The 26,842-nt window shown below is 44.1% G+C and overlaps 1 protein-coding gene and 1 non-coding gene across 8 annotated transcripts in view, besides 3 other annotated features; one reads left to right on the top strand and one right to left on the bottom strand.

Moving 5' to 3' along the window:
- ABCC4 (ATP binding cassette subfamily C member 4 (PEL blood group)) overlaps positions 1-26,842 on the top strand; it is a 281,617-nt gene that overhangs the window by 87,123 nt on the left and 167,652 nt on the right. For all 7 annotated transcript variants that reach the window (NM_001301829.2, NM_005845.5, XM_047430034.1 and 4 more), the window contains 6 exons: positions 3,548-3,637; positions 4,732-4,895; positions 6,404-6,529; positions 7,548-7,797; positions 19,392-19,493; positions 25,787-25,876. In NM_001301829.2, coding sequence (NP_001288758.1) covers positions 3,548-3,637; positions 4,732-4,895; positions 6,404-6,529; positions 7,548-7,797; positions 19,392-19,493; positions 25,787-25,876 — 822 coding nt within the window. The remainder of the gene's footprint in view (positions 1-3,547; positions 3,638-4,731; positions 4,896-6,403; positions 6,530-7,547; positions 7,798-19,391; positions 19,494-25,786; positions 25,877-26,842) is intronic.
- Positions 3,742-4,941: an enhancer, noted in NCBI's record as "BRD4-independent group 4 enhancer chr13:95861642-95862841 (GRCh37/hg19 assembly coordinates)". NCBI's record gives its function as "activates an origin of replication core promoter dependent on BRD2, P300/CBP, MED14 and CDK7 cofactors, and independent of BRD4, by STARR-seq in HCT116 cells {active_cell/tissue: HCT116}" and the evidence as "EXISTENCE:reporter gene assay evidence [ECO:0000049][PMID:35650434]".
- SNORD13G (small nucleolar RNA, C/D box 13G) lies at positions 3,881-3,985 on the bottom strand. The gene has a single exon (NR_145733.1). It is a non-coding gene; the product is annotated as a small nucleolar RNA, C/D box 13G (small nucleolar RNA).
- Positions 9,906-10,406: an enhancer, noted in NCBI's record as "H3K27ac hESC enhancer chr13:95856177-95856677 (GRCh37/hg19 assembly coordinates)". NCBI's record gives its function as "activates a minimal SCP1, AML or CMV promoter by ChIP-STARR-seq in primed H9 embryonic stem cells {active_cell/tissue: H9 hESC(primed)}" and the evidence as "EXISTENCE:reporter gene assay evidence [ECO:0000049][PMID:30033119]".
- Positions 20,396-20,896: an enhancer, noted in NCBI's record as "H3K4me1 hESC enhancer chr13:95845687-95846187 (GRCh37/hg19 assembly coordinates)". NCBI's record gives its function as "activates a minimal SCP1, AML or CMV promoter by ChIP-STARR-seq in primed H9 embryonic stem cells {active_cell/tissue: H9 hESC(primed)}" and the evidence as "EXISTENCE:reporter gene assay evidence [ECO:0000049][PMID:30033119]".

Below are 26,842 nucleotides of genomic sequence, written 5' to 3'. Positions count from 1 at the left end.
CATGAATATTTTATTGCTTAATATTCTTCCATAAGGACCTTCATTCAGTCTTTGTTCTTTTTCTTAACTCTTTTTTTCTGTTTGTTCTTCAGATTTCAGTTGTAAACTATAGAAGGAAGGGTTAGCGACTCTGGGAATAAATCAATGGAAAGTATCTGCTATTAATGATATCTAATTTATTTTTCATTTCAGGTATTACCTTTTCAGTTTGAGAAGTTCTATTTGGTTCTTTTTGATATTACCTATCTCGCTCCTAAACTCACATCTACTTGTTATAACCATATTTTTCTTTAACTCCTTGACATATTATAATAGGTGCTTCATAGTTGTTGTTTACTAATTCCAAAATCTGGATCATTTCAGGGTCTATTTCTGTTGCCATTTCCCTCCTTTGATTACAGGTCACATTTTATTGTTTCCTTGTGTATCTAGTAATTGTTTTACTATGTTGAACATTATGATCGATATACTATAGGGAGTCTGGATTAAAGAGCATTGAGTTTTGTTCATGCAGGTAGTTAAATTCCTGGCAGATTGGCCCCTTTAGCATTGAATCCTTCTGTCTGTCTGTCAATCAGTTAATCATAGGGCAGGTAGCTCCATTCTGAACTTATTCCAAGTGCACAGCTGTTAATCTAGGGTGAGATCTTTATTACTAAGACATAGCCTTCCTGGTGTCTCAGGTGAATGCCTGAGGCCCAGTGGAGATTTCCTTCCTCTCCTCGGGCGGCATCTCCTACTGCATGACCTCCAGAATCTTCGGTCAGCACTCAGCCCCATAGCTGCTGCTTTCCTAGGCCTCATGGAGTCTGGCCCTGCTTATGAAGCCGTTGGCAAAGTACCCTGGGTAAATCCCTACTGAAACTTCTGGGGCAAACCCTCTGCTACTCAGGCTCACAAATTCCAGATGCTTCTACAACTTGGAACAACCATCTCTTCCTCCACCGCTCAGTGAAACTGTTTTGCTTGGGCAGAAAATGTCCTCAGGCATAAAGCCAGGTCAGTCCCGGGCCACCACCTACATTTCCCGTCTCTTGAGGCTCACAGCCTGTGTTACCTGTGGTCCAGTGCCTGAAAACAGCTGTGTCATATGTTTTGCCCAACGTTACAGTTTTCCAGGGGAGGGCAAGTCCTCTCTCATGGTTGGAAGCAGAAGCCTGGTAGTTTGCTTGTCAGCTGTGTCTTCCTCTTTTTTTTTTTTTAAGATGGAATCTTGCTCAGTCGCCGAAGCTGGAGTGTAATGGCACGATCTTGGCTCACTGCAGCCTCTGCCTCCTGGGTTCAAGTGATTCTCCTGCCTCAGCCTCCTGAGTAGCTGGGATTACAGGCACCTGCCATCATGCCTGGCTAATTTTTGTATTTTTGTAGAGACAGGGATTCACCGTGTTGACCAGGCTGGTCTCGAACTCCCGACCTCAGGTGATCTGCCTGCCTCAGCCTCCCAAAGTGCTGGGATTACAGGTGTGAGCCACCGCACCTGGCATGTCTTCCTCATTAATAATATTCATGGCCCTTCATGATTTTTTTTATCCTATCTGGAGTATGACTGATTTAATTTCAGCAGGCCCTTAATTTCTGTGTTGACTGTAGAGTTATCGTTCACTTGGGTTAACTTCTATTACAACCCGAGTATCTGCCCAGCCTTTTATTCCACCTCTACACCTGGTCACAGTAATACACGACTTACAAGTAGCCCTCCTGGTGCACCCAGAAGAACTTTGTCTTTTTCACAAATTGGCATCTGTGCTGTCTTACCTAAATCCTCATTGTTGGCCTCAGACACAATCTGTGGATGATAGTTCAAGTTGGGCACAATTGACTTCAGATTTCTTGAAAAGGGTCAGCTTAGGCTTAGAGTTTGGTGTTGACATTTTGCTTTTATTTTTTTAAAATTAGGTATCAAATTTACATGCTTTAAAAATGTGGTATTTTCTGCATGTGGGATTAACATTTTGTATGTAAGACTGGCTTTATAAATATTTACAGATAGTTTGTAGTCAATAAGGCACATTACGTTCTGTTTCTTTCCTACAGGGGCGGGCTGGTCTCTCTCCTTCCCTTTCTTCTCCCTCACTCCTACATTTTCTTCTTTCTTTGTATTTTACGATTGATTCACTTATATTTGCATAATAGCATTTTTTAATTTTTTTTTTTTTGAGACAGTCTCACTCTGTCACCCAGACTGGAGTACAGTGGTGCAATCTTGGCTGATTGCAACCCCTGCCTCCCGGTTCAAGTGATTTTCTGCCTCAGCCTCCCGAGTAGCTGGGATTACAGGTGCACACCACCACACCAAGCTAATTTTTGTATTTTTAGTAGAGACAGGGTTTCACCATGTTGGCCAGGCTGATCTCGAACTCCTGACCTCAAGTGATCTGCCTTCAGCCCCACTAAGTGCTGGGATTACAGGTGTGAGCCACCGCGCCCGGCCATTTTTTAACTTTTCAAAATGTTTTCACTTCTATCTGGCCCTTTTTTTCCCATTCACATAGCCCTCGTTGACAGTCTTGTTGCCTTTTGCCTGGACTGTTATTCCAGCGGCAACTCATTCTCCTCCTTCCAGTAGTCTCCTGGCCAATTGCTTCTACTGTTTAACCTTCCTTAAGTTGAGTTTCTCCCTCTAACTTGAAAAACCACACGTACTGTTCCATATTGCCTTCCATAAGCTTCACCTGCTTCAGCCCTGCTTCCATGAGCTTCACCTGCTTCAGCCCCATTTCCATAAGCTTCACCTGTTTCAGCCCCGCTTCCATGAGCTTCACCTGCTTCAGCCAGGTTTGGGGTGTTCTTTATTCAGCAGCCTCCACATCCTCCTTCTCCGTACTTCTGTCCTAGCTAGGCCTCCCCTGCAGTGCCCTTCCCTTCCCTCCATAAAGTCCCTCCTTCATCGTCCAGGGTCTCTCCCACCCAGTGTCCCTCAGTTCGAACTGTCCCCAGTTCTCTGTGCAGGTCACAGTTGAATCACAGGTGTCTGGACATACCTAGCCCTGTCTCCCAAGGCAGGAAAACATGACTGTGTCACTGTATCTGCTGGGGCTCCTGGTGTCCTCCAGATAGTTGATACTCCATATTTGTCATTTCCCATTGAACACATTGAAACCCTGTGATCCAGGCAGGGTGAAGAGACTAAGGCCCCATGTGTTTAATAATGTTGCACAGAGAATTAGTGATTGGTACGGATTTATAGTCCACGTCCTCTCATTTTGTTCCTCTGACAGCCTCTCTGTTCTTCCCTAATTTGGCTCAAAATTACTTTGGTTGGCTCTTAAGTAGAAACTTATGTCCTTTTGTACTTGGGGGCGTGTCCAAATTCATTAAATGAGGTGGGAGATTTTTCTTCTTCCTACCTCTCGCTTTGCTGTCCTGACACAGCTGCCACCACTAAAGGTGCTGGTGGGGCAGAGAGAGGGGGCAGTGGGGGGGTGGGGATGCTTGTGCTTAGATCTGGTCTTGACATCACACGAGACTTCCTCAGGTCTGCTGTGTCCTAAGCCTGACTTAGTATCACTGCATGAATACAATTCTCTACTTACCTCTTTTATTTCAGGCACTTCGTCTTAGTAACATGGCCATGGGGAAGACAACCACAGGCCAGATAGTCAATCTGCTGTCCAATGATGTGAACAAGTTTGATCAGGTAAGCTGCAGCTCAGGGATCCTTTTTCATTGCATTAAACACCCCTCTTTCCCCTTTTATTCTTTCTGGAGGCAGGGGCTCACTCTGTTCACACTGGATTGCAGTGGCAGGATCATAGCTCGCTGAAGGCTTGAACTCCTGGGCTCAAGTGATGTGCGATCCTCCTGTCTCAGCCTCCTGATTAGCTGTGACTACAGGTGTGCATCACCGTGAACAGCTAATTTCTTTTTTTTTGAATTTTCATGTCAGATGGGCTATTGTGGAAACATCATAACAAAATTCAAGGGTGGCACATCTCACACAAGTGCGTGAACACCCGATTATCATGCTCATGAACTACAAAAGGATTGCTGGCTAATTTCTTTTTTTATTATTTGTAGAGAAGGGATCACGCCTTGTTGCGCAGGCTGGTCTCAAGATTCTGGCCTCAAGCGATTCTCGCTACCTTGGCCTCCCAAAGTGCTGGGATTACAGGTGTGAACACCATACCCGCCCAGTATCCATTGTTTAATACTTACCTTGTAGCGGTATCATTTTTCCAGGGCATTCTAGCTGCTGGCCATATTCATTTTGCACTAGGACCACTTCTTTTTTCCAATTATTCATTCATCAGAATGAACTAAAGCCTCCGCTCAGTGTCAGGGACAATGAATAAGACTTGGTTTCTGTTCTGAAGAAGCTCACTGCCTGTCTGGGAGACAAACACACAAGTAAATTACTGGAGTATGTGGTGGGCACTGTAGTACAGGTTTTCTTGGGGTACTGGGGAGCCCCAGGGCATATGGGAGCTGAATTCTGTGGCAGAGAGTTCTGGAAAATGCTCAGCTCATCAGTGAAGATAGTCACGATCAAGACATTCTTCTAATGCCGCTGGTCGGATTCTCTTGCGAGTCTCCCAGACCCACTCTTTGTTTCCCCAGAATGGCTTCACCTGTGGTGGGTGCTTGGCTTTCTGCTTTAGCAGGTGTAAACCCACTGTGGCCATTTCTGTTTAGGATCTTGCCTGTTCTTTTCCAGTGGATCGTTTCTGTACTGTGTTCTTACTGGTTTTGCTTTTCTGGAGTCCTAAGAACGCTCTGTCTTTTTCTTTAAAGGTGACAGTGTTCTTACACTTCCTGTGGGCAGGACCACTGCAGGCGATTGCAGTGACTGCCCTACTCTGGATGGAGATAGGAATATCGTGCCTTGCTGGGATGGCAGTTCTAATCATTCTCCTGCCCTTGCAAAGCTGTTTTGGGAAGTTGTTCTCATCACTGAGGTAAGAGAAATACTGCTGTGAAAAATGTCATATGTATTTGGTAACATCCACAGTCTTCCCAATGCTTTTGTTCAGAAACAAACTAAATGCCTTTTATTATCTCTTCCTTGCATATGTTGCAGCTCTTCAGGCTCAGCCAAGGGGGCCTCTGTCCTTATGCTGAAGGCAAATCTTCAAGGGAGAAAGGTGAAGGCATTCACTGGCTCCTCCCAGCCAGCTTTTCAGGCGCTGTGGCCTCAATAAGTAGAGTGTCCTTAAGCAGAAATCACATATGTAGAAGTTAGTTAAACATATAATGAATAATGATAAATTGAAATGTTTCATAGGCTCCATTCTAGCTGCATACATCTTTACCGTGCTTGTGTTAGAGCTGTTTTCACGTGTATATATGTGTGTTATTTTTAATTCAGTATTTCCATTAAATTGTAAGCTCCCCAAAGGCAAGGTGAATTTTAATGATGTAGTTATAAAATCACACAGTCCTAGTAGCATATGTGTTAGGAATATGGTTGTTAGCTGGTCGTGGTGGCTGAAGCCTGTAATCCCAACACTTTGGGAGGCCAAGGCAGGTGGATCACTTGAGGCCAGGAGTTTGAGACCTGCCTGGCCAACATGACAAAACTCCGTCTCTACTAAATTTAAAAAATTAGCTGGGCATGGTGGTACACGCCTGTAATCCCAGCTACTTGGGAGGCTCAGGCACGAGAATCACTTGAATCCAGGAGGCAGAGGTTGCAGTGAGCCGATATTATGCCACTGCACTCCAGCCTGGGTGACAGAGTGAGACTCTGTCTCAAAAAAAAAAAAAAAAAAAAAAAAAAAAAAGAAATACAGCTTTTGATCAAGAGATTAATGATGATAAAATAAATTAGACTTGAAGCAGGTTCCAACGAATTGGAAATGGTTCATTGTCAAGGTTGTCAGCTGGATCGAGATGAGCCACTGTTGGAAGTGCATTGAGTTCTTTGTTTTATGCTTTTGCTTATGGTGTATTTTCTACTTGGACCTTCCCCTCTTTGCCATCTGGAGAAATAGTCCTTGTCCTTTGAGGCCCCGTTCAAATGCTCCTGGTCCTCTGAAGCTTTTTTTTTTTTTTTTGCTCTCCTCTTTCCCGGTGGAGTTAACAAACAGCCCTTTCTTTTCTGCTCCCCAGCACTTCATTCCCATTTTAGCACTCTCTGACCACTGTGTTATCGTCAGGCTCGGGTGCCTTTCTGCCTTTCCTGCCCACCTGTGAGCTCCTCGAGGGGACAGATGACATCTGACTCATTTTCATGTCTTCCTCAGCAGATATTACAAATTCTCCAAAATACTTGTTGAGTTGGTATAGATTGTTGACTTCCTAATCGAAGTCTTTTTCTATTTGTATTTTGAGTAGGACCTGTCTGTGTTGTCGGAAGCAAAAGCGCTGTAGGGAACCATGTGATGCAGGTCCCTGCCTGTGCCTGCCGCTGATAAGGGCAGGCTGTGATCGCTCAGGCTCATCTCCCGTGTCTGGTTCCCCTTAGGAGTAAAACTGCAACTTTCACGGATGCCAGGATCAGGACCATGAATGAAGTTATAACTGGTATAAGGATAATAAAAATGTACGCCTGGGAAAAGTCATTTTCAAATCTTATTACCAATTTGAGAAAGTAAGTTTTTGTATACATTGTACCATATTTTTGTATTTTTCTATTTGCTATTCTTGTTGATGGTTTTAGAAGTTTTACTATGTTTTCACATTATGGGAAGTTCAGTACAATCCATCCCAGTCCCCACGCTTGGCAGTTGGGTTAAGTAGAATGGTAGAGAACGTTATTTTCACTTGGTCTTCCATTTACCATGTTCTTAAACAGAAAGCATGTATGCTTCTTACTAATACAAAAGTGAAATTCCAAATGTTTCTGAATATCCCAAATCCCAACAATGAGTCTAAGATGTTAGTATTTGAGAATAATGGTGTTTAAAATAAAACTATAATTTATATTAATGTAGCCAAATGGACAAGTTATAGAGACTGGGCATATCTATATTGGACCAAACTATATGAATCAGTATTTTTCATTCCAAACAGGCATGGAAATACTGTTAGTTGTGCTTTGTTTTATTAGAAATTTTGGAGGGGGCTGGGCGCAGTGGCTCATGCCTGTAATCCAAGAACTTTGGGAGGCTGAGGCGGGTGGATCACCTGAGGTCAGGAGTTTGAGACCAGCCTGGCCAACATGGTGAAACCCTGTCTCTACTAAAAATACAAACATTTGCTGGGCGTGGTGGCACATGCCTGTAATCCTAGCTACTTGAGAGGCTGAGGCAGGAGAATCGCTTGAACCAGGAGGCGGAGGTTGCAGTGAGCTGAGATCGCACCATTGCCTGGGCGACAAGAGTGAAACTCTGTCTCAAAAAACAAAATATGTATTTTTTTTTTGGCTTTTGGATTAAATATTTGATTAGTTGTTGCATTCCAGCACATGATACTTCTTATGATTTCTTGGGTAGTTCCTGGCCACCTCTCACCTTTGCACTTTTTTGTTGTTGTTGCCCAGGATGGTCTCAAACTCCTGGGTTCAAACAATTCATCCACCTCAGCTCCCAAAGTGCTGAGATTGCAGGCGTGAGCCACTTTATCTGGTTGACATCACTGCTTTTTTAAAAACCTGTACTCTCTTTCAGGAAGGAGATTTCCAAGATTCTGAGAAGTTCCTGCCTCAGAGGGATGAATTTGGCTTCATTTTTCAGTGCAAGCAAAATCATCGTGTTTGTGACCTTCACCACCTACGTGCTCCTCGGCAGTGTGATCACAGCCAGCCGCGTGTTCGTGGCAGTGACGCTGTATGGGGCTGTGCGGCTGACGGTTACCCTCTTCTTCCCCTCAGCCATTGAGAGGGTGTCAGAGGCAATCGTCAGCATCCGAAGAATCCAGGTTGGTGTCAGATGCCATTTTAAAGTTGTAGGTGCATTTGAAGTAGAATGATGTCTCCTTTTATTTAGCATCACTATGTTCCAGTGTAATGACATTTAACTCTCTCATAACCAAAACGTGCCGCCATTCCAGAATGTTGTGTGTACTTCCCTATCTTAGATAGAGCGCGGTAAAGACAATGCAAGCATTGTGATTCATTTGTTGGCAGCAACATAAACAGCAGTGGCACAGGGCTTTTGATGTACAGGTGGTAACTGCAGGGGTGATTAAAATGTCTAAGCTGTCTAAAAGCAGGAAAAGCAAATAGATTTCATCTCTTATGTTAACACCAATGAGAAAGTAGTGAGTATGAGTTGAGTATGATTCTTCTGTGGGCTGGAAGGAAAGAGCTTGCTGGGGGTCTCTGCTTCTTGGTCAGGAAGAATGGCCTCAACTTCACTTAGCTATCCCTGTTTGAAAATAAGTTCTTTCCTCTGTAGATGTTTTCCTTGTTAATTTCTGTGCATGCCTTTAGGACCTCTGCCATTTCTTTCCTGTCCGCTTTTCACTTTTTTCTTACTGTTGATGAACCTATCTCTGCCAGACTTCTTTATTTCCAATTGGTTGATTTCTACTGCCTTGCTCCATTTGTACGACTGTAACAAGGACCACTCTCTGCTTCCCAGATGGACCTCTGTGTCCTCCCATCGTGGAGGAAACAGAAGGACAAAATGGGCCTGGTTAGTTCTCTCCAGCCTTCTGTAAGGACACTAATCCCCTTCAGGAGGGCTCTGCCGTAGCGACCTGATCACCTCTTAGAGGCCCCACCTCTTAACACTGATGCTGGGGTGAACTTCCAACCTGTGAATTTAGAACAGGCATGCCCATTCAAACCATAGCATCCACTTTACACACCATCACCTTTTCCTAAGTCGCTGTCACTCAATTGCCAGGGGCAAATAATTTATATCACCAAGGTAAGGTCCTGGCACATAATGTATGCTCAAGTATTTGTGTGTTTATGAATAAGTTGAAAATTAAAATAAATTGGCTTTGTGAGAGGGCTTGGCAAGAACTTGACTGTCTAAGCTTTTCAAAAATCTGCTTTGTTTTATTCCTGGTTCTTAATAGAGATGGATGCCCAAGGACAGACTCGAGTGAACTTAGCTGACACTGGCTGTGATTATTTTTTTATTTTTATTTTTTTGGTAGGGGAGAGAATGGGGTGGGTGTTGTCATAAAAGCTAAGATTCTTTTTTATGATGAAGTTTGTTTTTTAAAGATGAGATCTTGCTGTGTTACCCAGGCTGGAGCATAGTGGCTATTCATAGGCAGACTCCCACTACTGATTAGCAAGTTTGTATTTCATAAAAAATATTACCTATAAAACAGACCATACAGGGTCATTTCTTATCCCCATTCTTTCTGACAACAGCTTCAGGTAACACTGTGAAGGGATGGTCCATGCAGGTCAGTAACACTTTTTTCATGTAGCTTTTGCATCTTGAAAGAAAGAACTTAGGAGTATACTTTGACCAGAGTATCTTTCTGAGTGTGCAGGACACCTTTTTCAGACGGAAGGGCCACATGTGTATTGTGCTGCTGTAATTCTCTGACTGCTGTTGCTGCCCCTCACCGTGATTGCAGGTGTTGGTGTGTGTACCGTGGACCAGGGCTCTTGGAAGCCTGTACATGTTATTTCATGTTATCCTCACAATTGAAGGAGATAAGCATTAGTGTCCCCACTTTACAGAGAATGAAACTGGCTCCTGTAATAGGTTAAGGAGTTTGCCTATCTTAGAACTAGGAATCTGTTCAGAACCATGATTTCTTAACCATGGTATGTTGCCTGTTGTATTAATCTGTTTTTATATTGCTATAAAGAACTTCCTGAGACTGGGCAATTTATATTGGAAAGAGGTTTAATTGACTCACAGTTCAGCATAGTTGGGGAGACCTCAGGAAACTCACAGTCATGGCGGAAGGGGAAGCAGGCACTTTCTTCACAGGGTGGCAGGAAGGAGAAGTGCAAGCAGGGAAAATGCCAGACGCGTATAAAACCATCAGATCTCATGAGAACTCACTATCACTAGAACAGCACAGGGGAAACTGCCCCCATGATCCGATTACCTCCACCTGGTCCCACCCTTGACACGTGAGGATTATGGCGATTACAGTTCAAGCTGAGATTCGGGTGGGGACACAGAGCCAAACTGTATCACCTATGTTGCTGCCTTAGTATCCTCTGGTGTGGGATATTTCCTTCAGTATTCTTTTACTCATCTAGTTGTATTCCAAAAACCTTGAAAGGTTCTCTGTTTCTTGTGGAGTCCTATTTTTGAACCCTAGGTGTAGGGCTTACCTGTGTGTGTTTCCCAGCACATGACTCGTCTCTGTTCCCACTTTGGGGTCTTTTGCTCTGTGTGGCTGGGGTGTCCTCCCTTCTGTCCTTGATTTAAGCAAATGCTACTAAGCCCTCCGGCCAGGTCTCAGGAGCCTGGTGGTACTTTTGTTCCTGCCGAGCAAGGCCAGTACGGTGCAGCTCAGCATTGATGGACACATAATGGGCACCAAATGCTGGATGGACAGAAGCAGCAACCTTAGCAAAAGTCTGGGGCCCAATACAGACCCAAGGTGGCCCAGCCTGCACTAGAAGCTAGAGGAAGGCCGAGCGAGGAAGCAGACTCGAGTTGAATATTCCCAGAACACCAGGCCTTGTTCAAGGGGGGTGTGAGGGTCCTTAACTCTGGGGAGCTGGATTTTTTTCAGAGTGGACTGGATCGGAGTCTCTGCCTCGTTATGTGTGTCCCTCTGTGCATCTCAAACCCTCTTGGACTTGGTGGACCTGCTCTTGTAAGAGAGGGGCCATGTCTGACATTAAATATAGACCCTCCTGGCCAGGCGCGGTGGCTTACAGCTATAATCGCAGCACTTTGGGAGGCCGAGGTGAGCGGATCACTTGAGGTCAGGAGTTAGAGACCAGCTTGGCCAACATGGTGAAATCCCGTCTCTACTAAAAATATAAAAATTAGTCAGGCATGGTGGTACATGCCTGTAATCCCAGCTCCTGAGCTACACGCCTGTAATCCCAGCTCCTCAGGAGGCTCAGGCTTGCTTGAACCCAAAAAGTGGAGGTTGCAGTGAGCCGAGATTACGCCACTGCACTGTAGTCTGGGTGACAGAGTGAGGCTCTGTCTCCAAAAAAAAAAAAAAAAAGAGCCTCCTGACTGGCTTCCAGGCTGTGAAACAAATGGACTTTCCTTGGGCCATGTGGAGAAATAGAAACAGTCTTACTTGGTTAATAAAATTAGTCTGTCTTCCTGGCCATTATGAGATAAATGAAGATTAAGATCAAGACCATGGGGCTTTATATGAACAGGTAATAGCTGGTGAGTACCCACTAGGTAACAAGGAGGGGCCCAAGTGCCTTATGAATACTCACTCCTTTTACTTGTGTAACTCCCCTATCATTCCCACATTACAGATAAAGAAACTGAAGCCTGAGGAGGGTGAATAGCACCTCCACGTTTTAACAGTTAATAAAAGGCTGATCCGGGGCTTTAGCCCAGGCCGTCAATCTGTCTCAGAAGTGCGGCCAGGCGCGATGGCTCACGTCTGTAATCCCAGCACTTTTGGAGGCCTAGGTGGACGGATCACTTGAGGTCAGGAGTTCTAGACCAGCCTGGCCAGCATGGTGAAACCCCGCCTCTGCAAAAAATAAAACAACAACAACAAAATCAGCTGGGCATGGTGGCACGCACCTGTAATCCCAGCTACTCTGGAGGCCAAGGCACGAGAATTGCTTGAACCCGGGAGGTGGAGGTTGCAGTGAGCTGAGATTGCACCACTGCACTCCAGCCTGGGTGACAGAGGAGACTCCATCTCAAAAAAAAAAAAAAAAAAAAAAAGTGCACATTCTTATCCCCACATGCACAGCATAACCTGAATGCAGATCTCACTTCCATGCGGCAGCCATAAAAAATAATTGGGCAAAGAGCAGCCCCAACAGGTGGTATGGCGGGGTGGGACGCAGACCTTGGGTTCTCACCAACTCTCTGGGCCTTGGTTTTATTGTCTTTAAATAAGGGGATTGGACTTAGTGTCTGGAGGTCATTTCCTATTTTGTCTCACTTATTTAGAAAACCGTCTGTATTAGTCAGAGTTCTCCAGAGAAGCAGAACTGATAGGGCCCACGTGTATGTACATGCAGAGAGAGATTGGTAGATTGATTGATAAAATTGTCTCACGCAACTTGGAGGTGACGTAAGTCTGCAATCTGCAGGGCAGCTGGCAGGCCAGAGACCCTGGGAAGAGCTGATGATGCAGCTTGAGTCTGAGGAGGACAGTCTTGAGGCAGAATTCCCTTTTCTTTGTAGGTCTTTTTTCTCTTAAATGCCTTCAACTGATTGGATGAGCCCCGCTGACATTATGTAGGATTTTAAAGTCTACAGATTTAAATGCTAATCTCAACTGAAAAACACTTTCCCATTGATACCCAGACATGTTTGACCACATATCTGGGGACTGTGGCCTAGCCAAGCTGACACATAAAATTCACCATCACAGTCTTTTTTTTCTTTTGAGATGAGTCTCACTCTGTCGGCTAGGCTGGAGTGCAGTGGCACGATCTCAGCTCACTGCAACCTCTACTTCCCGGGTTCAAGCAATTCTCCTGCCTCAGCCTCCTGAGTAGTTGGGATTACAGGCGTGAGCCACCATGTCCAGCTAATTTTTGTATTTTTAGTAGAGGCAAGGTTTCACCACGTTGGCCAGGCAGGTCTCGAATTCCTGACCTCAAGTGATCCACCCGCCTTGGCATCCCAAAGTGCTGGGATTACAGGTATAAGCCACCGCACCCGGCCCATCACACACTCTTTAATCCTCATCTCTTCTTTTGGGCTCTCCATACGTGACTTTGTCCTCATTTTCCCCTTATTATTGAAGCCATTTGTTTATAGATTTCTTTCCCTTCCTAAACTCTAAACTTACAAAAGGCAGACACAGTGCCTCATTCATCTTTATATTACGTATAGATTGCAGGTGCTCAGAAGATGTGTAAGTGAAGTCAACCTCCAGCTTCATTACATCTATGAGATTTGGAAAATGCCTAACAACTGAGCATTATTTTAGTGGGAAGTGATGACTGTCGTTCTCTGCTGAATTATGTCACACATCAGAGAGTGTGGCATGAAAGGGATCCTGCAGACGATTTTCAGGGAATTGTGGTCCAATATGCAGCTAGGGAAGAAATCCTTAGGATTTTTTATTTTTTTCCCACCAAAATGCAACTCACCTGTGTCTAAGGCTTGAAATTCCTGTTCCTGTAGATAGATGTATGCATGTAGTAAAATAAAATGACCGGCTGGGAATTTTACATTTTCCAGTGGCTAACTTTGGCAAGGTGCTCTGTGTCCAGATAAAGGATGCATCTTTGACTTGGGCAGGAAACCTTAATTTCCCCTCATGTACATAGTTTCTGGTGGGAGGGTGGGCCTAGAGTTCAGCAGTAGTGATTTTCAGTAAAGGAGAAACAAATGGCCAGGCATGACTGGTAAGAAAGCGTTGGCGCTCGTATGGTAAACTCCTTCATGGTGGTGTTGAAGTCATTGTTGGAGGTTTTGTTTTGTTTTGTTTATTTGTTTGTTTTTTCTTCCTTTAGAACTTTGTGTTTTTTCAACCTGGATGGTTCCTGTAACCCATTTAAAATTTTGTCCCCAAGTTCATCAGAATTACCTGATGCACTGATTAAAACTAAATTATTACACCTTGGAGATTCTGCTTCATCAGGCATTGGCTGGGTCCCAATATCTTTTGTTTTGTTTTGTTTTGTTTTGAGACGGCGTCTCGCTCTGTCACCAAGCTGGAGTGCAGTGGCGTGATCTCAGCTCACTGCAACCTCTGCCTCCCAGGTTCAAGTGATTCTCCTGCCTCAGCCTTTGGAGTAGCTGGGACTACAGGCATGCACCACCACACCCGGCTAACTTTTGTATTTTTAGTAGAGACTGGGTTTCACCACGTTGGCCAGGATAGTCTCAGTCTCTTGACCTCGTGATCCACCCGCGTCGGCCTCCCAAAGTGTTGGGATTACAGCGTGAGCCATTGCGCTCAGCCCAATCAATATCTTTAGAAAGTGTCCTCGTGTCCCTGAAAATATGCTGTCTTTGGGAAACCTTGCCCTAGTTGTGTGATAAAAAAACGCATGAGGTCAAAATATGTGTAGCAAATAGAAACGACGTCAGGATAACTTAAGACTAAAATCATTTGAGAGGAAGCACGCAGACACCTGTTTTGGTCTATGCTAGGCTTTTGGGGGTTAAGTTTGGAATTTATTCATTCACTTAGTCATTGACTCTACAATGTAATTGAGCACCTAGCTTAAGCTGGCACTGTGATAAATGCTTAGATACAATGGTAAGCCAATGCACAGAAGTCCTTCCTGCTGGGAACTTCCTCCTGGGAATCATCAAGTGGGGGTTAATAAATAACCACGTAATTAAAATCAGTGCTCATGTGTCATTGTCTTTGGAAGGCAATATCTGAGATGCCATGAGGTGCTTTGGTAGAGATGCCCATGCCATTGTGGAGGTGTAGTGCTTCCTGCGAAGGCTCAAGAAATAGCCTGCAGCATTGTGTGCGTGGTAGTGGAGAGAGATGGGGAAGGGTTTGGGAAGGGAGGTGGCTTGGGGCAGCCAGGAGGCTGATGCCCTGCATTTCCCTGGGGGTAATTATGTGAGAAAGCTCTTAATGTTCAAGAAAATCCACATATTTTCAATTCACCCTGGCTGCAGCCTGGGGAATGCATTGGGGGCCCAGAGTAGAGGCAGGGAGATACGTCAGGAGGCTGATGCAGCAAGCAGTCCCGGAAGATGATGATGGGATTTGGACTCAGACCAAGTAGACAGCCTTGGATAGATTTGAAAGCCATTGAGAGCATGTCCTGATTTGGGTGTGGGGCAAGAGGAGGGATTAGTCAGAAGGAGGGATCAGGGCTACTTTCGTCCTTATGGCTGCAAAATCACCTGGGTTCACTGAAATATGGAATACTAGAAGACCAGATTTGGGGATGAATTTGGCTTTGAAGACTGGGATGCTTTAGAACTGTGCAGATGTTTGCTACAAGACCCACTGATGGGGTCTGCCTGGTTCCGCCTCCTTTCCTATTTCTCTAAAAATGGAGGTTGTAAATGATGAGTGTAATGAATTGATCCAATGTTCACTTTCTTCCTTGCCTCTCGTGGATGTGTTAATGAACAATGAGAAGGTGAAAAATGGCATCAGGAGAGGAGGAATAGTTCTGCCCAATATACTGATCGGAACTAAGTGAGTCTTGACCATAGATAGACCAGAGCTTGGCAGACACATAGAGTTTAGAAAACATTGTGTTGTTAAATTTTTAAAAAATATTTTTATATTTCTATTTTAATTTTTTTATTATACTTTTTCTGGGACACATGTGCAGAACATGAAGGTTTGTTACATAGGTATACATGTGCCATGGTGGTTTGCTGCACCCATCAACCCATCATCTAGGTTTTAAGCCCCACATGCATTCAGTATTTGTCCTAATGCTCTCCTTCCCCTTGCCCCTCACCCTCTGACAGGCCCTGGTGTGTGATGTTCCCCTTCCTGTGTCCATGTGTTCTCATTGTTCAACTCTCACTTATGAGTGAGAACATGCAGGGTTTGGTTTTCTGTTCCTGTGTTAGTTTGCTGAGAATGATGGTTTCCAGCTTCATCCATGTCCCTGTAAAGGACATGAACTCATCCTTTTTTATGGCTGCATAGTATTCCACAGTGTATATATGACACATTTTCTTTATCCAGTCTGTCATTGATGGGCATTTGGGTTGGTTCCAAGTCTTTGCTGTTGTAAATAGTGCTGCAGTAAACATACGTGTGCATGTGTCTTTATAGTCGAATGATTTATAATCCTTTGGGTATATACCCAGTAATGGGATTGCTGGGTCCAATGGTATTTCTGGTTCTAGTTCCTTGAGGAATTGCCACGTTGTCTTTCACAGTGGTTGAACTAATTTACACTCCCACCAACAATGTAAAAGTGTTCCTATTTCTCCACATCCTCTCCAGCATCTGTTGTTTCCTGACTTTTTAATGATCACCATTCTAACTGGTGTGAGATGGTATCTCATTGTGGTTTTGATTTGCATTTCTTTAATGACCAGTGATAATGAGCTTTTTTTCATATGTTTGTTGGCTGCATACATGTCTTCTTTTGAGAAGTGTCTGTTCATATCCTTCGCTCACTTTTTGATGGGGTTGTTTTTTTTCTTGTAAATTTGTTTAAGTTCCTTGTAGATTCTGGATGTTAGCCCTCTGTCACATGGATAGATTGCAAAAATTTTCTTCCATTCTGTAGGTTGCCTGTTCACTCTGATGAGAGTTTCTTTTGCTGTGGAGAAGCTCTTTAGTTTAATTAGATCCCATTTGTCAATTTTGGCTTTTGTTGCCATTGTTTTTGGTGTTTTAGTCGTGAAGTCTTTGCCATGCCTATGTCCTGAATGGTATTACCTAGGCTTTCTTCTAGGGTTTTTATGGTTTGAGGTTTTATATTTAAGTCTTTAATCTATTGTCTTTCTTACTCATACTTTTCAATTTCCTTTTTTCCATGTACAGAAAATGAAGGTTTTATTGCGAAGTTTTTAGGTCTAAGAAGTTCCGTCTGTTTTTCTTTTATTAAGGAAAGGATTGATGGTCTTGGCATTAAGCAAGTCCAATAGGATTTTAAGAGATCTTATCTTAACAGCAAAGCACTGAAAGTCTTCAATGACTTCCACATCCAGTAAAATGTGTCTCTGAGGTTTTATTGTTCACAAAGCTGCTTCAGTTTTTGCCAACCGTCCACTCTGAAGTCAATCTCTTTGACTTCAGTTCTGCCGTCTGATACTTCCCCAAGTGAACTTTCTGGGGATGCACCTCATTGCTGTATTGGCAATGTCATTTCAGCTTTTTCACCCTCCTGAGTGACTAGAGAAAGTCCAGCTAGCCCCTCCAGCATCTTTACAAGCCGTTCATGTGTTGAGTGGAGTCTCATTTAACCACTAAACTATTATCATGTCTGTCTCCACTCAGATCTGTTGTTTATTGACCAGTGCTCAATAGGTTTACTGTGTGCATAGTTTTTTATTTTGAAGGTGGGGAACTTCTGTTCTGACCTGCACATACAGAATACTGAATTTGATGTCTTGGTCGTACACTTCAGCTAAAATCAGAATTTTATTCTGTCTAGACAAGGTTAAGAAGATGTATATATAACCTTTTGCTTGTTGCTGTGCTAACTGACATAGCTGATTGTTTGAATAATTTAAGCCGATCATACAGTCTGTTTATGACTGTAGCATGTATCTGTGAAGAGCTGACCCCGTGTGCAGTGCAGTGTTCATGCAGGTGAGTGTGTTTGTAAGTGCAGGATGGGGGACACATCTCTGCCCTGTACATAACTCAGTTTCGGTCCCAGCTGCAGCCACCCTGAGCTGGTTCCCAGCAGGATTAGTCTTTGAGGTGGGCCCTCAAAGACAGGGTGGGATTAATACTCAGGGAATCAAGGCAAAGGCTACTTTGGGAGTGTGACTGTCAGTGCTGCTGGGTCATGGAAGAGTTTGAAGCATGGTGGTTATTATCAGAGGTGTTTTCAGAAGATCCTTAGGGAGTGGTGTTTGGGAACGGTTTGGTTGTGATGGGGGATGCTGGAGAAGGGACCAGTGAAAACATTGTATCAGTATCACAAATGATTGCCGGTCAGTAAACTTGTGAAATTGGGTCTGGTCTTTTTTCTTTCTTTCCTTCCTTCCCTCCCTCCCTTCTTCCTTCCTTCCTTCCTTCCTTCCTTCCTTCCTTCCTTCCTTCCTTCCTTCCTTCCTTCCTTCCTTCCTTCCTTCCTTCCTTCCTTCCTTCCTTCCTTCCTTCCTTCCTTCCTTCCTTCCTTCCTTCCTTCCTTCCTTCCTTCCTTCCTCCTTTCCTCCTTTCCTCCTTTCCTTTTATTTTTTTTGACAGGGTCTTGCACTATTGCCCAGGCTGGAGTGCAATGAGGGAGGAGCCCTCATGGCCTAAATACCTCTCAATACCATCACATTGGCCATTAAGTTTCACCACCTGGATTTTGGAGGGGAAGTTGTCCAGGCAGCTTCCAAGGCCTGGAGACTGTATAGGAAGTTTCCTGGACGTTGTCACTTTCTGTTGGGCTGAACTTAAAGTCATGTGGCTACATCTAACTGTGTTGGGGGCTGGAGAGAGTGGTCCTTGTTCAAGGCTGCTGTGCGTTGGCTAAAAATGCACAGAAAATTAGAGCAGGTTTTGAGGAGAGCTGACAGTTTTTGCCACATCTACAAAATTTTGGATGGGGTGGGGGTGATCTAGGTTGTTTATTCTGTTTCTAAGCCACTGTAGCTTCTCTCACTGAATTATGCCTACCATTTGAGGAGCAAAAGGGAGTTTTCCCATATATCATTATGTTAGGTTTGTTATGGTTAACAGGACTTTGTTTTATTCAGTTAAATTGCATTGTGTAGTTGCTAACTAGTGTGGAAAATAGCAATAAGCGAGAGATTGGTCCGTTCTGCTGTCTAGGAGGGGACATTGACTAAGGAAAAAAGATAAGTGTAGGTGTAGCATGGTGGCTTATGCCTGTAAACCCAGCATTTTGGGAGGCCGAGGTGGGTAGATTGCTTGAGGCCAGCAGTTCGAGACCAGCCTGGCTAACATGGTGAAACCCTGTCTCCAGTGTAAATACAAAAATTAGCCAGGCATGGTGGCAGACACCTGTAATCCCAGCTACTTGGGAGGCTGAGGCTGGAGAATCACTTGAACCGGAGAGGCGGAGGCTGCAGCGAACCGAGATCGTGCCATGCTTTCCAGCCTGGGTGACAGAGTGAGACTCTGTCTCAAAATAATAATAATAACAATAATAATAGGTGATTGTGAAAAGAAGCTTATAAAATATGTTTTAAGAGATAGAAACCTTTTTTCTTATTTTGGTAAAGAACACTGACTTAAGTGATAGTGAATTAAGTTGTATGTCAATTTGACGTGCACGAGGGAGGAGAAGGCCAGTTGAATCTAAGTGACTGGCCAGAGCCAGGGCTGCCTTCAGAGGCTCTGCCCTGTGTTTCCTGCCTACCCTTCTGGGCTCACTTGCTTCCTGAAGGCTGGGAATGGCCTTGACTTTCATGTTGCCAGCATCTAGCGCGGGGCTTGGCACATGATGAGGATTCATGAAATATTCATCAGATCATTTCCAACCAACTCCCGTGTTCACCATTAGTAACACAAAAGTACAACAGTAGAACTATGCAGGCTGTCAATGCACTCAGTCTCAGAGCAGTATTTTCGGTTTATTTAGGAACAAGTATACTTGTTGAAAAAAATTACACAGATAGTTCCTAAAATTACAAAGATAGTTCATGGCCATGAACTCTTTACATGTTTATTTATTAAATAAATATCATATGCTGATGTGAACCGATACTTTAAATAGGGTTGGTAAAATGATCTGTAGGCTGTATAAAGTTTTATGTTACAAATTCCATGGAAGCAGTGACTTTTGTTTGTGCTTTTGTTTCTGTAATTTAAACAATCTGTGTTTTTCCCATTTTCTTTAGACCTTTTTGCTACTTGATGAGATATCACAGCGCAACCGTCAGCTGCCGTCAGATGGTAAAAAGATGGTGCATGTGCAGGATTTTACTGCTTTTTGGGATAAGGTAACATATCCTTAATGCAAGATCATGACTGCTGAAGATAATGAGTGACATTGATTTAATAGAGAATTTTGAGGTGTTACACATGGTATAAAATATGGCTTGCTTATTTACTGAAACTATGTTACAAAGATTCTCAAAATTAGGAGTAAGTTTTGCAATTAATAGAAAGTAGGTATGAAATCAGACTTAGGTATTTGACAAGTTGTATTTTATCTCATTTTCAAAAAACCAAGGAAAGTGTTACCTCGTTCTAAACTAAATGTCACTAAGTTTGGACATTGGCAACGCTGGATTTTATAGGATTGGACAGACTAGGGGTGCAGCATGGAATGGGTTAACTGCTGAGTACATTGTAGATTATTACGGAGACTTTGGGGTATCAGTGCACATTTTCAGCTTAGCGTTTTCAGGTCATCTTATTACATATTGAGAAAGCCCATGACTTGGATTTTTGCCACGGGGTTGGGGTGGGGCTCCCCTATTCCAAGCATCTGGATGTTGCCAGCTGCTTTGGTGGCAGCCCAAGGCCGAGGGGAGGCTGCAGGCCGGCGTAGCAAGCTCCATGGATTCCTGACTGAAGGGTTTCACCGTGTGGTAAGTGGACAGGTAGTTCTGGCAAGGCCACAAGGATTTTTCAACACTTGGTTTACTCATAACATTTAGGCAAATGGGACCAACAGCAGGGGCCACCCACAAGAAGTACTGAGGCTCGGTGCATCTCCTGTTATCCACAACTCCAGTGCCCTCCTCATGCTTCCAAGGAAGCAGTGGGCTCCCTGCCCAGTGCTCATAGACGCCACTACTATGGCACCAGCTTTTCATGAAGAGAAAGGCTGTATTGTGAGTGGAATGGCAAGGAGACAGGAGGCAACGCTCAAATTTGTCTTCCCTAGCTGGGGGATGGGGCAGGTTTTATAGGCAGAGGGTAATGAGGCATGGTCCGATTGGGTCTTGCATGATGCCAGAGCTGGACCTGATCGGATCCTGGATCATGCCATGAGGCGTTCGCCTCTGAACTCGTTCCTCCTTCCTTGGTCCTAGCACTTGGGTTCTGCCCATGGTTGCCTGCTTGGTTCATCTGGGAATGCTCAGATTACGTAACTTGCAACCTGGGATCCATGGTGACTGAAAAACTGTTTACTATGTTATTACACAAAGTTGAACCAGATTGGGCTGGTTCTGCGGTTACGCTCACCTGAGTCCGGGGTCCTCTGCAAATGCACTTGTCTCAGTCTGTGTTAGTCTGGAAAACAGAACACACAGCATGGGAGAGGGAATTTTGTGCAGGGAATTCGTTTCATAGGTGATGAAAGAAAGAGCACAAAGGGAAAGCAGGGGTGGAGGAGGCCACCCCGAGATCAGCCACGGCAGGAAGCTGCACCCCGGGGCTGGAGATGATGTCTGCCAGGAGCAGAGCCCAGTGGCCCAGCTGCCAGCAAGATTTGGGAGCAGAGGGCGAGGGTCTCTTCTGAGGGTACTGGAACAGCTCAGGCTGCTTAAAACAGGTGGGCAGTGCTGGTGGTGACCAGCTCCTCCCCTCTCCGGGTGCTCTTTGTGGCTGACCTTGCGTTGTAGCGTAGTTTGCTGGAGCCAAGAGCCAATAGGCGGTTGAGCAGCACTCCTGCCCAGCCCCACTGCCTCCGTCCTCCCCTGTGGGACAAATGTCAAAACTCTCTAGACTCCAGACTCTTCCTTTCTCTACATGCCCTTGGCTCTAAGTATTGCACTCCCTGTTTCATGTTTGCCTAATTCTGATGTAATTTCTGCCATCTCTACCAACAAAACAATAATGTGTTCCCAGATATTTAGAACATCATCGCATCTTGTGCACATGGAAACTCACACAAGGTGACAGTTTCTCTTTATCTGCTGGCATTCCCACCCTCATACACTTTATTTATTTATTTATTTGTTTTGGAGACAGAGTCTTGCTCTTTTGCCTAGGCTGGAGTGCAGTGCTGTGATTTCGGCTCACTGTAACCTCTGTCTCCCAGGGTCAAGTGATTCTCCTGCCTCAACCTCGTGAGTAGCTAGGATTACAGGCACGCCCCACCATGCCTGGCTAATTTTTGTATTTTTAGTAGAGACAGGGTTTCTCCCATGTTGGCCAGGCTGGTCTTGAATTTCTGGCCTCAAGTGATCTGCCCGCCTTGGCCTCCCAAAGTGCTGGGATTGCAGGCATGAGCCACCGTGCCCAGCTCTAATACACTTCAAGCATTGACAGACAGCTCTGTGAACATCCCACTAGAAAAAAGCACTCTAGGTGAATGCTGTTGAGCTAGAGGAAGGCACTGAGGTAGCTACCACACACTGTGTAGGTCCCATTTGCAAATTTCTTTTGTACCAAACCCTGCGATATTGTAAAATGGTCTGTTTTGTTGTTTTTCGGTTCCTAGATAACATTGACAGCTGCATTGTAAACAGAACACTCCATCCTGTTTTCTGGCCTTGTCTTGGGGTGATTTTGCCTCACACTGGCAGGGATTATTAGGGAGGTCCTGCGGCTGAGAGGGTGCTGGGGTGGGAGGAGGGGCACAGACACGGGCTTCTGGAGAGAAGCTGCAGAGGAAAGAAGGGTGTGCTGGGCTGGGATTTCGGAGAAAGACAGAGACCCCAGCAGCAGTCCTGCTGGATAGACCAGCAGGTATTGGAGGGAAGGTCTTCTCACCAGCCTAGGTCTCATTTATAAAACAGGGGCTTGGGCTGAAGCTGTAAAGTCTGTGGCCCCGTGAGAGCCTGTGACTCTCCATGGGGAAGGGATTTGCTTCTGCTTTCTTCACTGCTCTGGCCCCAGGGCCCACAGAGTGGGGGCTCAGTCTGCCTGCCTTAGTGTGTCTTGGAGCCTGGGGAGGTCCCAGAGGGAATGGGCCTAGCCTTCTGAGCTGTCGAGTGCTGCCCCCTTCTGGCTGCAGCCCACCAGTGCTGGGTCCCAGGCCTCCCGGCGGGGCAGAAACCTGCTCTAAGAACCAGGGCCTTGATGGGAAGCTGGGTTTTGCATGTGGCTCACTCTTTTGCAGCCAAAACTGAATAAAAAGAAGTAAAATCAGAAGTAGTTGTTAGGAAAGAGACACACTGCAAAGGAGGGGAAAGGGACAGGTTGACCGGTTGTGTTTTTTCATCCTTTTGTAATCACAGAAATAAGTAGGTTTCAGTTGTCTTAAGAGACAGATGTTACTTAATCAGGAATACAGAGTAGACCCGTTACATTTTAGAGGAGGAACACCTTATATAGTAAGGCGAAGTCAAGCAAGACTTTGTGAATTTGTGACAAGTTTGCACTTAAAATCGTGTAAATATGTCACATTTTGTTTAACGTTATTTTTCCAAGTGTTTAGGTAATGTATTACTTTTTTAAAAAAGAAATAGTTGTTAGGCATGTATGAAGGAGTAAAGAAACCTATTCTGGGTGGTTGTTATATAATTCCTATGAAATCTGGGGCTAATTTCTTTGTGCTTAAAAGGGATCATGATCGTTTTGGTCTGCGGCCATCCTATGATGTGGTATGGGACACATAAGGGGTCAGTTTTCATACACACATATTTTAGCATTTGACCATTTATAGAAATATTTGTGATTATTCGGATATGTGACCATTAAGTCGTTTCCAGGTAAATTTTTCATTTTGAAGGTTATCTTGATCTCTTATTCCCCCACCGTGCTTTCTGTCTTTTGGGCATTTTACTAATTGCACATGCCCGCTTGAGATGTGGAGAGGGGTTGATGAGTAACTGTGGGCTGCGCCAGCTCAGTGTCTTTAGGTTTTGGGTTGGTTGACTCCATGCGTGCTTCCCTCTTCCATCATCCCAGGGGTGTTCCACCCTTCAGGGACGCCAGATTCATTTTGAAGAATCCTTTTCTAGAGTTGAGGAGGCTGCATTGCCTTTGATTCATTCTTGATCATTTTTCTATGATATGGATGAGCATTTACCAAAGTGTGTCGTGCAGAAGAATAGCCACTTCCGAAAGGATTTGGGACTTGAATAAATTTGCTAAATGCCTACCCACCAGACATGCATGGTCAAGTCTCTCCAATCTATCCACGAGAAATTCAGACGAAGATTATAAATGTGCTGCTTAAACCCCTTTAGGATTCCTCCCAAATTGTAGCTGTTTTTACTTTACTTAACAGTATCAATTTTTGTCTACTAGTGTTGATGTCTGGGTTTGGACAAAAGTTCTTAGAGTTGGCAGTTTTTACGGTTGAGGTTCTATACTCTGAATTTAAAACCATTCCTCTCTTTATTTGTACCAACTGACTTTTGCTTTTTTAAAAGATAGATAATTCAAAGTACTGATTGTCCTTGTATGAGAAGAGGAAACCTCCTCATTTTGGTTTATCATGCTCTGGTAAACTATCCCTATCATGCTCTGGTAAACTATCCCTTCTCCCTGATACACACTTAATCCTCTCAATTGAAAATATTTAGAAGCTCTTTGTAAAAGTAATGAATTTGATTTGGTCTCCTAAATAATAAACTGCAAAATAACATTTTTTTGAGACAAGGTCTTACTGTGTCACCCGGGTTAGAGTGCAGTGGTGCAATCTTGGCTCACTGCAACCTCAGCCTCCGGTGCTCAAGGGATCCTCCTGCCTCATCCTCCTGAGTAGCTGGGACTATGGCACACACCATGCCTGGCTGATTTTTTTTTCTTTAAGAGATGGTTTCTCACTATGTTGCCCCAGCTTGTCTTGAACTCCTAGGCTCAAGTGATCCTCCCACCTCCATCTCCCAAAATGTTGGGATTACAGGCATGAACCAGTCCGTACCCTGCCTAAAACAACTTTTTTTTTTTTAACATTAGCAGTGATTGATAATTTTGTTAACATTTAGTATATGTAAAAACATGCATATACTCCTGAATCTTTTTATCATAGAATTTATAGATTGTTTAGGAACATTATTTCTGATACCCTAATGAGTACTTCATCCCTTCCTCCCTTTGTGCTGGATTGAATGCTGTGGTGGGTACCTCAGTGTTTATAGTAGAACTACTATGCTGTCCCTATTTTCCCAGGATGGGTAACACAAGCTGCAGGTGTAACACTGAGACTTTCACTTTGACCTATGAACATACACTTAATTTCATTATTCTTCAGTTTTTGGTTATTGTTAAATTAGAGCTCTTGGTTACAGGGTTGACCACCATTTGTAGAAGTTCATTTGCCAAGAGTGACTTTATAGTATAAAGTGCCTTCTGGCTGGCTGGGCATAACTGAGGTTCATGCTTTATCAAGTGAAAATGGAAAGATTAGTGGAGATTTCAAGTCATCCATTAGCCAAGGACTGGGCATGCCATGTACTCATGCTGCCACCTTGTGGAGGTTAATGAAATAGAATATTAAAACCAAGGGACAGAATGAAAATTTACAAATGGTTGAAAAGCTCCCATACTGAATATTATATTAAGAATATTGCCGGGCGCGGTGGCTCACGCCTGTAATCCCAGCACTTTGGGAGGCCGAGGCGGGCGGATCACGAGGTCAGGAGATCGAGACCACGGTGAAACCCCGTCTCTACTAAAAATACAAAAAATTAGCTGGGCGCAGTGGCAGGCGCCTGTAGTCCCAGCTACTCGGGAGGCTGAGGCAGGAGAATGGCGTGAACCCGGAAGGCGGAGCTTGCAGTGAGCGGAGATCGCGCCACAGCACTCCCGCCTGGGCGACAGAACGAGACTCCGTCTCAAAAAAAAAAAAAAAAAAAAAAAAAAAGAATATTGTTTTAAATGAGAACACATGGACACAGGGAGGGGAACATTACACATACGGGGCTTGTCGGTGGGTGGGGGGCAAGGGGAGGGAGAGCATTAGGACAAATACATAATGCATGCAGGGCTTAAAACCTAGATGACAGGTTGACAGGTGCAGCAAACCACCATGGCACATGTATACCTATGTAACAAACCTGCACGTTCTGCGCATGTATCCTAGAACTTAAAGTAAAAAATATATATATATTGTTTTAGTAAGTTAGCATGAGTTTTCATTTCAAGAAGCTTGTCTTGTCATTTTTACTATCTAAATTTTGTGGAAGTCTGGAGCTGTGTTCACATGAAAATCTGGTAAAAGGGAATGGGCCTTCCTTAAGTACTGAAGACTCCAAACTGTGTAAAACCCCACCAAAAAAATATGATTGTATGAAAAGGACTCTAGGATACAATATCTTAAAATAGGAAGGAGAAAGATTTGGGTTATGTTCATGTATCAATGACTGTTGTATTGTTTTCTTCTCTTTTTGAAGTGATTTGTGTGACTTTATTGAAATGGGCACATTTTATAAACTTTAATTTGTAGGCATCAGAGACCCCAACTCTACAAGGCCTTTCCTTTACTGTCAGACCTGGCGAATTGTTAGCTGTGGTCGGCCCCGTGGGAGCAGGGAAGGTGAGTTAGAATGGCTTTTGGCAGCTTGTTGCAACCCCACTTATCATATTAACTTCGTGGGTTTGAGCCCAAGGCTACGTGTAACACAATTTTGAACTGGGTACACTTGGCACGGCATTTCTCAGTGCATGGAACATTCGTTTTGCAAGAAGGGTCACATGACCAAATAAATGTGGACAATGCATATCATGTTTCCCTTGGTTCTTCAAGTTGAGCAATTGGGAACTCCTAGAAGTTGGACATCTCCATGAAAGAAATTATTTATGTGACCACTATGCAGGATGGATTGACTAAGAAAGTGGGAACTTCTTTTTGTCAGAGGGGACCCTAGATGCTACAAGACATCTGGAGGTTATGAAGGCTTGTCTGAAAAGCTTTAAACATGTTTTGATATGACTTCTCCAAGTCACATGAACACACATTTAATAAACCTGTAGCCAGGTGTATAGTCCTGTGTTAGGAGTAAAAGATACACCTGTAATCAAGACCCAGACGCCACTGCCCTCCAGAAGTTTCTGGTATCTGGGGTGAGACAGATATACAAACAGGTGATTTCAGTTCAGTGTCGTAAGTGCTCTGATAGTGGGGGGCACAGACACGTCATGTCTGTGCATTGTAGAAGATGTGAAGGAAACGTGCGTACAGACTTAGTCTCATATATTCTAAAGCAACGCAATAAATCTAGTTGTAGGTGTATAACAAATAGGGTGGTTTAACAATTGAAGTTTGCTCTTCAGAGACACGATTCTTGGGTATTTAAAAATAAAAGTCCTTCCTAGTGCACAGGATTTATTATTTATTTTTATTTATTCATTCATTTATTCACGTATGTATGTATATTTAGTTTTTGAGACATGGTCTCGCTCTGTCACCCAGGCTGGAGTGCAGTGGCGTGATCTAGAGTCACTGCAACCTCCATTTCCCTAGGTTCAAGTGATTCTCATGCCTCAGCCTCCCAAGTAGCTG

The sequence above is a fragment of the Homo sapiens genome, chromosome 13 (assembly GCF_000001405.40).
Source record: "Homo sapiens chromosome 13, GRCh38.p14 Primary Assembly".
Classification (NCBI taxonomy): Eukaryota; Metazoa; Chordata; class Mammalia; order Primates; family Hominidae; genus Homo; species Homo sapiens.
Note: the sequence above shows the minus strand (reverse complement) of the source record. Positions and strands in the feature narration are given on the sequence as shown.